This window comes from Homo sapiens, chromosome 11 (genome assembly GCF_000001405.40).
Source record: "Homo sapiens chromosome 11, GRCh38.p14 Primary Assembly".
NCBI lineage: Eukaryota > Metazoa > Chordata > Mammalia > Primates > Hominidae > Homo > Homo sapiens.
Window position 1 is genome coordinate 125214395 of NC_000011.10, and position 12279 is coordinate 125226673.

The following is a 12279-nucleotide window of genomic DNA, read 5'->3' on the forward strand; positions in this document are numbered from 1 at the left end:
GGGTTGCTCTGGAGCATGGATTTGTGTTGTCAGCCTCTTTTCTTCTGGCTAAGAGTGACAGCCAGAGTAAGAGGTCTAAATCATGTACCTGGGAGGATAGCTGATCCTGAAAAGGGAAAAAAGGAAAGGCTCCTCCACCTAAGACAAATCTTATACCCTTCTGAGTTTTGCCTGGGCTGGCCCTGCCTGGGTGCAAGTTGAGCCATACCCTGGGCCAGCCTCTGAGGTCTGCGTCCTGCTGTCAGCACCCCCTAGTTAGCATCTGCACCATCAATCAGGCAATGCAGCCCCTGCCTGAGGGGTGGAGGGGATGGGGTGCAGCCTCTCCAACTCCTTGCCAACCCTTAGACACAGAGCCCTTCCCTCTCCACCCTCCTCTTTTTCTCTCTCTTCTCTCTCCTCCCCACCTTGATGTGGACAGCTCAGCCCCTCCAAGGCTTCTGTCCACTCCGAGAACCCCTCTCTATCCATAGTGGCTCAAAGGGCTTTTTGAGTGGGGAAGCAGGCAGCCTGTGGGCCTGGGAGGAGAGATAAAGGCGTGAGATCCCCCAGGGGCCTGCGGGGTCAGGGGCTGTGTATCTGGTGACTTCTGAATGCAAGCTCCAACAAAGAGAAATCTGTGGTGGGAGAGCGTCCGCGAAGGAAATAAAATCTCCATGAAAACAAACTTTTGTTGGAAGCTTTCTCCTCTTGTTTTGGCAGCGTTGCTAGGTCCTGGGAGGGGAAGGCCGTGTCTTCCGGAGCAGTTGGGAGGCTCTCGGATTGTCCAAATATCAGCTTGCTGCAAGAAGGCTGTTCTTCCCCCACCAGGAAGACGGGGCTTAGGAGTTAGTGCAGTAATCATTGGTTTTCTAATCAAGGCTAGAATGGCTGAAAGAAAGGCTGGGGGCCATGGAGAGGGCTCAGGACTGTGAGTTAGGAGAATCAGCACTGTGTGTGTCACAGTTCCGTGACTCAGGCCAACCTGAGATCCCTTCGTGCCTTACTTTTCTCACCTGTAAAACGAGCATAACTTGCCCAAGGTCATTCAGCTAGAAAAGCAGGAGCAGGCCCAGGATATAAACTGCTATTTCCATGCTGGGCGCGGTGGCTCATGCCTGCAATCTCAGCACTTTGGGAGGCTGAAGCAGGCGGATCACCTGAGGTCAGGAGTTCAAGACCAGCCTGACCAACACGGCGAAACCCCATCTCTACTAAAAATACAAAAATTCGCCAGGCATAGTGGTGTGCACCAGTAATCCCAGCTACTAGGGAAGCTGAGGCAGGAGAATCACTTGAACCTGGGAGGCAGAGGTTGCAGTGAGCCAAGATCGTGCCATTGTACTCCAACCTGGGCAACAGAGCGAGACTCTGTCTCAAAATAAACTAACTAACTAACTAACTAACTATTTCCCATTACCCTCATAAGTGAAAAGCAGAGGCTGGAAGTGAAAGGGTCTTTGAAGACATCACAAGGCCCCAGGAGGACTGGATGATTATATTTTCTTCAGGGCTAGGTGGTCACTTACAGCGCTCAGTCATTTATTCTCTGCATCTGGTTTTGCCAACATCAGAGAAGCCAGGGAATGGTTAAAGAAGGGCCTTGCAGTCCATGCTTGCTGCTGACTTGAATTGCTCAACTTCATTGCTTCTCTAGATTGATTTCAGAACACTAGATCCTCAAAAGCTTTAAAGAATGCAGAAGATGAGGCTTACCCCAGCTGCGGAGATGTTTTTACATTAAACAACGATATCTATTTTTCACCTTGGGTCAGGTCCCGTGAGATTGTCTCTTTTTGTCCTGCTCAAGGAGAAAATCCTTAGCTACAGCTGTTGTCTACCAGGGCTCAGAGGACTGCAGAGCCATGAGTAGCCAGAGGACTAAGGCAGGGAGGGGTCTGAGCTGTGGTTTCGAGTCTGTCTGCTCCTGACAGGCCACGGTGTGACCCTGGGCCCCTCTCTGGGCCCCGTTTTCCTTCCCATAGACAGTGTCAGATGGGGTAAGTTGCTCTTGCCTCCACCCAGCAGGAAGAGGACAGATAAACTCAGGGCAGTCCTGGTAGGGGGGTGAGTCCCGGCAGGTGCTGAGGGGGCCTGAGAAACCCGCCTGGGGAGGCACCGAGGCTGAGAACCCAGCCTGCCCCTTCTCCCCTCGTTCCCTTCCCACCCCTTTCCCTCTTCTTCAAAAGGGTTGCTCCTATGAGAAGGGGTGTGTGTTTTCCCCTGTGCTCTGGTCGTCTGTGAAAACTGAGAGACACCCGGGCAGAGGTGCCTTTCTCAGAGTTCTCTCTGCCCCAGCGCTCTGGATTTGGGAAGGCCTGCCCAGGGAAGCCCACTGCATTTCCGAAGGTGCTTCCTCCCTCCCTCCTCCCTCCTCCCCTCCACTGTCCCTTCAGCAGTCTGGCCAGGTCAGTCAGGGGCTAGTAACAGAGCTGGTACCACTGAGGTCACGTGGCTGGCCTGAGCAGCCTGCAACAGGGGACCTTGTTAAAGGCGTATTAAAAGGTGAAGACTCCCACTGTTGACCACATGTGGAGTTCACATGGGGCATGTTCAGGCTCGGTGTGGCCAGGATGTGCATGTGCGTGAAATTAGGCAGGAGGCCAGGCTGTGAAAGTTTCCCCATCCCCTCAAAACACACACACACACACACACACACACACAGTCTCTCTCACACACACACAAAGTCACACCCAGTCATACACACAGAGTCACACTCACACACATGCATGAACACCCACCCATGGAGTCACACACACAGGCATGTGCACACACGACCCTCCAGACAACAGCACGCTGGTGATATGAGAGAAGCCTTTTCTAGGAGCTTCTCTCTCCACTCTTCCATCCCCTCCTTTCCCACTCCTGGATCTCTCTCCTTCCACACTCCTCTCTGGACACCTTATTAGGCTTAATCAGCAGGGATCACAAGTCCTAGATTTGCCAGACCAGCTCTCACTCCATGTAGTTTGCAGGCAACATGAGACAAGGAAAAGAACTCAGGCAGGAGCCCAGTGGGGCTGGGTTCAGATCTTCACGCTTCCACGTAGCCAGGATCATGGCCATGGACATTCACACTAGGCAGTTGTTAACTCCTCTAAGCCTCACTGCAAGGCCAGCTACAAATACTTCCTTGCAGAGTTGTTGTGGGGAATGTGCATGGAAACAGGTAGAAGCCACCTAGCGCAGGCGGGCACACAGGAAGTGTCAGTGCACATCGGCTGTCTCCTCTGCGTGATTGCCCCATGAATATATTTTTGCTATGTGGTCCCCATACTGCTGTTTGAGCTGGAAAAGAGACCCACCCTAGGGAAGTGTTTGGGGTCTACTTTGCATGGACTTTTCCTCATTTACCTAGGGGGTGGTTTTGAGCCTAGGAGGGGGAATATTACAGCTATCATTTACTGAGCAATTTCTATGTGAGATAATTACGCTTGTTTCATCTTCACAATGGCCTCCTGATCCCTCCATCACAAATAAGGAAACCGAATTGCAGTGAGGTTAAGTAATTTGTCTGAATTCATGAGCTAGTAAGTGGCTAGGAACCCAGCTCCTAACCTCAACTTTCTGTTGCACTGGATGATTTGCTGTAGCGCTGGGGACCCTGGCATGAGCCCATGCAGAGACAGACGGCCCTGTTTGATCTGGTGATTCAATGGGTCTTCTCCTTCTCCTCTTAGAGCAGGCAGATTTGGATAGGGCCTTTCTTCTAGCTGCTCTTTAAAGTGATGTGGACTTGGGTGGGAGGGCTTTGGTTCTGAGGAGCTGGATGCAGGAGGCCTGAGGGGGCATCTGTGGGAACAAACAGGATGAAAGGGGGGCGCTCCGTTCAGGTTTGCAAATGCCATGAATACCACCTCACGCTGGCCCCCGAGCTAAGTACTGGGGATGCAGAAGTGAATAAGACCTTGTCCCTGCCGTCAAGGAACTCATGGGGAAGTGAGTGGGGTGGGGGCTCGGCCATGTAAAAACATGCATGGACACTGGGGTTTGTGCAGCCATAGAGAAGACTCTGGGTGCTGCGTGGCAGTGATGGGGGGGGGACAGGAACTTGTTCCAAAATTTGCTGGTAGGAGGTGGTGCCAGAATAGACCGTCCTGGGAATTAGACAGCAGAAAGAAGAAAAGGGAGCTCAGGGCAGGAGGGATAGGCTGAGCAAAAGCACGGAGGTGTGAGCAAGGCTGGGAGGTGTAGGCAGGGACAGGGTGAGAGCTAAGGCACTTGGATGGTATCTTGCAGGAGATGGGGAGCTAGTGCATGTATTTAGATGGGGAGTGGAGCTGTCAGGTTTATATTTTAGAGCACTGGCCTGAGCAGCAGTGCGCATGGATTAGAGGGGACCAGACCTTTGTAAGAAGAGCAGTCAAGATGTGTATCAGTTAGAAAGCCTTAGACTGTAAGTAGCAGCAAATCCAACCCAAAAAGGCTTAAAGAGTGAGGCATTTAGTTTCTTATGTGTTACAAAGTTCAGTACCAGGACTGCTCTAGGGTTGGAGAAATTCAGGGGCTCCATGACATCCACAAGCACCCAGGTTCTTTCTCTGTCATCCTCTGGATCTTAGCTCTGTTTTCCAACTGGCTTTCCTCTGGGTCACAAGATGGTAGTGGCAGTTCCAGGCATCACACCCATGTCCAGGCTGGCAATCAAAAAGGGTAAATCATGTCAACTGCAAAAGTATAGGGAGCAGTGGGGGCTGCAGCCAGTGGGAGGGTGTTGGCTCTCAACCTGTTGGCATTCAAACTACACATTTTTAAACTACCATCAAGAATTATAAGTAGCCCAGGCATGGTGGCTCTCACCTGTAATCCCAGCACTTAGGGAGGCCAAGGCAAGCAGATCATCTGAGGTTAGGAGTTCCAGACCAGCCTGGCTAACATGGTGAAACCCTGTCTTTACTAATAATACAAAAAAAAATTAGCTGGAGGTGGTGGCGCACACCTGTAATCCCAGCTACTTTGTAGGCTGAGGCAGGAGAATCTCTTGAACCTGGGAGGCAGAGGTTGCAGTGAGCCAAGATCACGCCATTGCATTCTAGCCTGGGCAACAAGAGTGAAACTCTATCTCAAAAAAAAAAAAAAATTATAAACAAAGCTAAGAGAAAATGACAACCTGTGGAAAAATTTTTACAACTCATATCACAGGGCTACTCTCCCTAATATATGAAGAGCTCCTAAAAATTAACAACAACAAAAACACAACCCAGTAGAAAAAATAATGGGCAAAGAATATGAACAGACTATTCACAGAAAAGAAAATATAAATAGCTTTTAATGTATGAGAGCATGATCAACCTTGCACATAGTAAGAGAAATGCAAATTAAAACTATCCTGGGATACCATTATTCATTTATCTTTTAAATGGGCAAAAAGCCAAAAAATTTGATATCGCATTCTATTGGCAAGGCCCTGGGGAAACAGACTGTCTCATGGTGTAAATCTGCACAACCCCTTTGAAGGGCCATTTCGAATATCATCAAAATGATAAATCATATGCCTTTGACCCAGCAATTTCATGTTGGGGAAATGATCCTAAAGACATTCTTGTACCTATAGGAAATGACATATGTCTAAGTACCTTCTTTGTAACATTATTTGTAATAGCAAAAGATTGGAAAGAACCCAAATATCCATCAATTGAAGACCAATTCATTAAATTATGGAATTTCCTGACAATGGAATACTATTCATTTAAAAAGAGAAATGAGAAAGTTTTCTTTGTACTGATAAAGATCTCCAAAATATGTGTAAAAAGGAAAAAAATAACCCACCAAGTTTAAAAAAAAGTGTGTATAAAAAGGGGAAAACAAGAATCTATATTTGTATTTGCTTGGACAGGTGGGAGACAGGAATGGGAGGGAAACATTGCAGTGTTTACCTTCTTACACTTTTTGATTTTTGAGCCATGTTCCATATTACCTTTTTAAAAGCAAAACAAAACACAAACACTGTGCAAATCCCACAAAATATCTGCGGCTGCGTTCTGCCGAGAGCGGCTGATTTCCAACCCCTGAGCTCCGAATTATAGAGTGGCAGTGGAGACAGAAGGGATAGATTTGAGAAGTCTTTTTTAGGCATGGAATCCCCACAGCTTGGGTGTGGGATTGAGGGAGAAGGCAGAGGCAGCATCGGAGATGGCTCCAGACATGGGTACCTGGTGGAAGATGCCACCATTGTGAGATGGGAAGGCCGGAGAGAAGCATGTTGGGGGAAAAGGAAACAATGGCAGGTCACTGGGGCAATCAGCCCTGGGGAATCATTTCACCTCTTGAACCCAGTCTCTGCAATTCTCCCGTCATACCTTGCCTAGGATCCGGCCTTGTTCTATTTCTCCATCCATCCATCCATACACCAAAGCAGTATTTCTGACTACAAAAGCAGAGGGGATGTTCCTCCGAAGTTTCAAAGGCCAGCATCTGTAGCACTAGGGACAGGGTGGAGGCCCAACCAGTAGACACAACAGCAAAATCCTACATTCGCCACTGGGTCAGTACGTCCCAGGGAGAGGGCAGGACTTTGTGTTCTGCTCCCATTTCTGTTCTAATTCTAATCCCAGCACTTTGAGAGGCCGAGGCGGGCGAATCACAGCCTGGCCCACATAGTGAAACCCCGACTCTACTAGAAATACAAAAAATCAGCTGGATGAAGTGGCGGGCACCTGTAATCCCAGCTACTTGGGAGGCAGAGGCAGGAGAATTGCTTGAACCTGGGAGGTGGAGGTTGCAGTGAGCCGAGATCGCGCCACTGCACTCCAGCCTGGGTGACAGAGTGAGACTCTGTCTAAAAAAAAACAAAACAAAAATTGTCACCATCTAATTGGCTCTGCAACTGCTGCTGGAGTGGACTCTGGGGCTGTGAGCCTGGCACTGGGGCATCCCAGGAGATAGTGGACTAGGGTCCACCCAGGGGCACCTTGGTACTGGTGGCAGTGGGAGAGGTGGATGGGAAAGGGAAGCCAGGTGAGGGGAACTCTAGGCAAAATAAGCATGAAGTGTGTGGCATCCATGTGATAAGTGCAGTGTGTTTGGGGCACATTTACCCCCTTTGGTGAGAACAGCAGTCTGCTAAGCAGCCCACCCTGCTCCAGGCCCGTCTGCAGAGTTGGGGGCCAGAATGAAAAATGGACCCGAGAGCTAACCGCAGCCACGCCGTTTAGTGTTGGAGGCGTATAAGTCAGTATGTGAGATACGGCCACACTCTTGGTTTTAGTTGTAGCTGGAAAGGATTAGAAGACAATTAATAAATCATATAGTGCCCTGAGTTTAAGTAGCTTGTTATTATGGGCTGCATATATTTATTATGCTTCACTGAGCAACACTGGCACATTTCCTTCGACTGTCACACAATTTGTATGCAATTTGTTTCAGTAGGTTTTTTTTTTAAATGCACATATAAATTATTAACCTGCATTCTTCAGGGCAGATTGCTGGAATCCCTCCTCCTCCCCGACCACCCCGTGTGAGTCTCATAAAAACTTCCTGTCCCCAAAATGACAGTAGTGCCATGACCTACAGCCCACTGCCCGCCCGGGCTGTAGAAGAATCACTTGCTGTCGCCTGGTTGCGTACCTGAGGCAGAGACCTAACACAGTTGGGAAGAAATCAAATGCGTATTTTGGGGTGATTGGCGGTGCCTGGAGAGGAACTGTTGATGAGAATCATGCCTTTCAAAGCTGCAGTGAAAATAAATCAGAGGGACAAGGAGAATTGGCCCTTGAACAAAGCTGGGAACTTGACCTGGAAGCCAGAAGCACGTCAGACACTGATGGCCCCAAACTCTTCCTTGTCTGAATGAGGAAGCTGAGCCCACAGAGGGGTGACAACTGCCTTGGGGCCACAGTGATGGGTCTTTCCTCATCCTGAGCCACCCCCCTTGCTCTCTTCCAGTTGGGATTTTTTTCTGGGGCTGACACGGATGCCTTTCCTTCAACCTTTCTCTGAGGTGCACTGGGGGGATCTTCTCCACACTTTCTTCAGGGTTGAGGCTATGTTGTCTTTTTGTTTTTCTTGGTGGAGCAGTTTGATGTTTTTCATGTGATATTTTTAGTTGAACCCTGAATGATTATAGCCCCTTCTCACAAAAATTCTCACCTGAGTACCTAGGGACTGGGTTAAAGAACAGTCTGACTGGCTGGCCTCTGCTCTTTCCAGATGCCTTTTCTAACATCTATACAATGTGCATCTGTCAAGCACCTAATGTGTAATAGGTGCTCCTGGTGTGTGTGTGTGTGTGTCTGTGTGTATGTGTGTGTATGTGTGTGTGTATGTGTGTGCGTATGTGTGTGCTGTGTATGTGTGTGTGTATGTGTGTGCGTATGTGTGTGTATGTGTGTGTGTGCTGTGTATGTGTGTGTGTATGTGTGTGTGTCTGTGTCTGTGTGCCTGTGTATGTGTGTATGTGTGTGTGTATGTGTGTATGTGTGTGTGTGTGTGCGTGTGTATGTGTGTGTGTGTTGCATCGAAAGGTGTCTCTGCTTTCATCTTGCTTTCTGCATTGTTGGGGTGACCCAGCAACTGGAGGAGTCCATGAATGTTGAATGAATGAATGAGCCTAGTTAGGAGTGAATGCAAGCAGCTTCTGAACACACCAGACAACCTACAGGAAGAGCCCGGCAGCCTGGAACCACCAAGAAGGATTCTCGTCTGGGATTTTCTAGATGGCTAATGGTTTACTTCTTCAAGTACCCTGAGGATGTTGTAAATATTACAAGTGGACATCCTCCCTGTCTTCTTAAGTAAATTATCTGGAACATGATTGAGCCTCATTTAATGACACATTGGTTTGCCCTTTAACTCTCTCCTAGGCCAACCCTCCATACCTCAGTTTACCTTCTGGGGAAGCCCACACTCTTCCTCTTTTAGTCCTTTTTTTTTTTTGAGACAGAGTCTCACTCTGTCATCTAGGCTGGAATGCAATGGCGCAATCTTGGCCCACTGCAACCTCCGCCTCCCTGGTTTAAGTGATTCTCCTGCCTCAGCGTCCTGAGCAGCTGGGATTACAGGCACCCGCCACCATGCCCAGCTAACTTTTTCTATTTTTAGTAAAGATGAGTTTTGCCATTTTGGCCAGGCTGGTGTCAAACTCCTGGACTCAAGTGATTCACCTGCCTCGGCCTCCCAAAGTCTTGGGATTACAGGCATGAGCCACCACGCCCAGCCCTCTTTTAATACTTCTAATCAGCTGAGGCTCAAGGTACCAGGTAACTTAGTCTGTTAGAAATATGTGTAAAACCAGAGTAACGAAGCCGTCAGTAAGGGCCTGAGAGTTTTCCTTTTGAACAAGGTTCATAAACTTTAATGCAAAGATTTCGTGGCATGTACTTTGACTTCCAGAAGATTAAAAAACAAAAAAAAACAACTGTCCTCTTTCCTCCAGTATTTTTATACTACGTTGGATCTATGAAGCTATTGAATAGCTAAATCACATGCTGGTGAGGAAGGCATTTTTGGCTTAGAAACGATGACATTGCAGCTGGGAGGCTGTGAGTGAAGGCCACAAGGGTTGGTAAAGGCATGATATCTCCTAGTTGGCTTTCAAGAAGGTCACACTGAAAGTTCTCTGATTCAATTATTTTAAGCCACAGGAAGGCAATTTAGCGACAAGAAGGGCCTCTTGTTACTGGCGATCTTGCACATGAGTCTTGAGAAGGCAGCGGCTGCTGCGGCCTTGCTCACACAGCTTTTCCCCTTTGCCCCTGGACGCTGCTAGCTCTTCAGTCCGCCAGAAACACAGCTGCCTTTGTGTCTTCTTCTGATGGATGTCTCAGGCGGACCTTCCTGCAGCCCAACAGAGGGTTCTTCCAGCAAGTCCTGCCTCAGCAGGGCCTTCCCTGGCCTCTCCGTGCCTGGGGAGTCGCCCGGGCCAGCCCATCCAGCCGGTGCCACCCACAAGCTCTGTGGCTGGCAGGTGCCAGGTGGAGACTGTCAGCTGCTCAGGAGAGAGATTGTTCAGGGTAGTTACTGCTAGCAAGGGATCCCATTTTATCTACCTGCCATCAGAGTAATCTGTCCTCTGCTGGAGCCCCTCGGAGGAGCCATGCGCAGGTGAGGCAGGCAGATGGCCGTGCAGTCAGGGTGACTTGGGTTGGAGATTGAAGCTGCCGGCCTTGCCTGGGAGGCCGAGGCCTGTGCTGTGAACTCAGGAAATCTCCCGCCCCTTGCCTGTTTATGGTGAAATCAGGCCTCCCTCAGAAAGGCAGTTTTCCTACTCCGTTTGTTCTCAGATTGGTGTTATACCCAGGAGCCAAATTAGTGGCTAAGAACAATTGGAAACAAATGCTCTTTCAGCATCCTGCTGTGATCCCAGATCCAGGTGGGGACACCAGCCGCGGCTGCCTTCTCCACTGAGCCACCCCTCCGCAGAGAATCAGCATCCCAGAACCATTCAGCACAGCCAAACTCCCTCATAATCAGCCAGCACCGTACACATCTGTCTAACCTCAGTGAAACAAGCTGGAGCCCTGTTAAGTTATTTATGAAACAATATTCAGGACCGCCCCCCGGAGGCAAGTTAGGGAATAATGAATGGGAAGTGCCGTGGTGCCCTTTGGAGAGGACTGTGGCAGGCTTGCTGGAGTGGGGTCCATCTCCCTCCCCCAGGGTCTGGGTGCTGGGTGCTCCCTCCAGTGGCCTTCGGATGGCTGCCTGGATGGCATCTTTTCTGAGATGCCAATGACTGTTAGCTTGGCTTGGATTTGATAGTGAAATTCTTTCTACTCCCTCCAGCACTGGTCTGAGAAAGTGTGGCCTACCCTCAACATGCCCCTGTCTGGATGTGCCTGCCCCAAAGGGGAGTGAATAGAAGGTTCTGAAACGCCTGCTGGGGAGAACCCGTCCTGCAGGACCTATAGAGCTGCTGGATCATACTTAACTCCCTAGTCAACTGGTTGTCTGTCCCCTCATTAGACTGTGGGCTCCTTGAGGGCAGGGAACTGGAATTGCTGTTCGTCATTGACCCCCAGCCTAGTGAAGGATCTGATGCTCAGAAAACATTTTGTAAATGAATGAAGGGAATTACTGGCATGACTTCCAATCCTGGACTTCTCTAAGTAAGTCTCCACCACTCTCTGAACTGTTTCTTCAAATGTGAAATGAGGAGGTCAAGAGAGATGATCTCTAAGAGTCTGCCCAGGCCCATCCATCTCACTTCTAGCACTGACTTCTGCACTGAGCTGCCCCAGACTCCAGCTCCCCCACCCACTGCCTCTGGGCTGGCTTACTCCTGGAGGGCACAGCCCACGGTAGCAATGTCCCCTCTGGCCTGGCGACCCTGGCTTAGTCATTATGCAGGGTTTCCAGTCTGGGGCTGGCTCTCTGGTGCCAAATACTGTCCTCTGCCTGTGCTGTTTTCCCCTGATGCATCTTCAGTCTGTCACTTTTCTCAGTCACACAGTTGAAAATTTCCTCCAAAGTAAAGTTGGATGCAAAATGAGGTCTTGTTAGCACAAAGAGATGCATGTGTTCTGCCCTGGGGTGCACCTCCTGGGTAGGCTGTATTTCTTTTTTTCTCTGAGCTAGACCCTTCTCCACAAGGGGAATTAAAGGCCTCTTTATTTCCAACCAAATGAGAAAAGCCCAGGGATCAACCTGTAGCCCATCCACATCCCTTCATCACACTGCCTTTGTTCAGGAAAGCAGAGGTGTGGCAACTTGCCTCCTCCTTTCTGCCTGCTGCAGAATTTCTCTTGCTTCCTGTGAACCAACAACAGCAATATTTACTTGCACAAGACACGTAATATTAACTTTTCAAAGTATGTAATTATTTCATTTCATTTTTACAATATGTCTGCTTTGCAGGCAAGGCAGGAATAGACATCTGGATTTATTTGACCCCTCCAAAGATTTATTGGTGTCTGGTCCAAGATTTCTTGGAATTTTAGGACTTTATGGCTGAATGTGAACCCAGTGAGTATCTTCTCCACTGATTTTTAACCTCTCAGGGGATGTGGATAGCCTTGAAATCTTGGTAAAATCTGTAAACCTCTCCCCGGAAAAACTTACACACAAATACTATTCTGGGTAAAATTTCCAGGGATTTGTGGACTGCTACCACCTTAAGGTTCTTCTTGCTCTGGTACAGCCGCTGGGTTGAATAGATGAGGAAGTTGAGGCCCAGAGAGTTAGGGCAATGTGCACAGAGTCATAACACTATGAGGACAAGGGCCGTCTCCTAGGTCCTGTCTACACCCTTTCCAACACGCCAAACCATTACTGACTGCTGCATCACATTAGGTGCCCAAATCCTCTCATCTCTTTCTCTTCCTCCTATTCCCCTCTTCTTTTAGATTTCCTGCTTATCGTTTT

The 12279-nt window shown here is 49.0% G+C and overlaps 1 protein-coding gene across 28 annotated transcripts in view, besides 2 other annotated features; it reads left to right on the forward strand.

Annotated features, from left to right (window-relative positions):
• The window catches only part of PKNOX2 (PBX/knotted 1 homeobox 2), a 268639-nt gene that overhangs the window by 49644 nt on the left and 206716 nt on the right, over positions 1 to 12279 (forward strand). The window contains exon 2 of one of the 28 annotated variants that reach the window (NM_001382333.1): positions 10702 to 11024. The exons of the other annotated variants lie outside the window; for them this stretch is intronic. The gene's annotated coding sequence lies outside the window, so the exon portion shown is untranslated. The remainder of the gene's footprint in view (positions 1 to 10701; positions 11025 to 12279) is intronic. 28 annotated transcript variants of the gene reach the window in all.
• Positions 353 to 884: an enhancer, noted in NCBI's record as "H3K4me1 hESC enhancer chr11:125084643-125085174 (GRCh37/hg19 assembly coordinates)". NCBI's record gives its function as "activates a minimal SCP1, AML or CMV promoter by ChIP-STARR-seq in primed H9 embryonic stem cells {active_cell/tissue: H9 hESC(primed)}" and the evidence as "EXISTENCE:reporter gene assay evidence [ECO:0000049][PMID:30033119]".
• Positions 9879 to 10491: an enhancer, noted in NCBI's record as "NANOG-H3K4me1 hESC enhancer chr11:125094169-125094781 (GRCh37/hg19 assembly coordinates)". NCBI's record gives its function as "activates a minimal SCP1, AML or CMV promoter by ChIP-STARR-seq in primed H9 embryonic stem cells {active_cell/tissue: H9 hESC(primed)}" and the evidence as "EXISTENCE:reporter gene assay evidence [ECO:0000049][PMID:30033119]".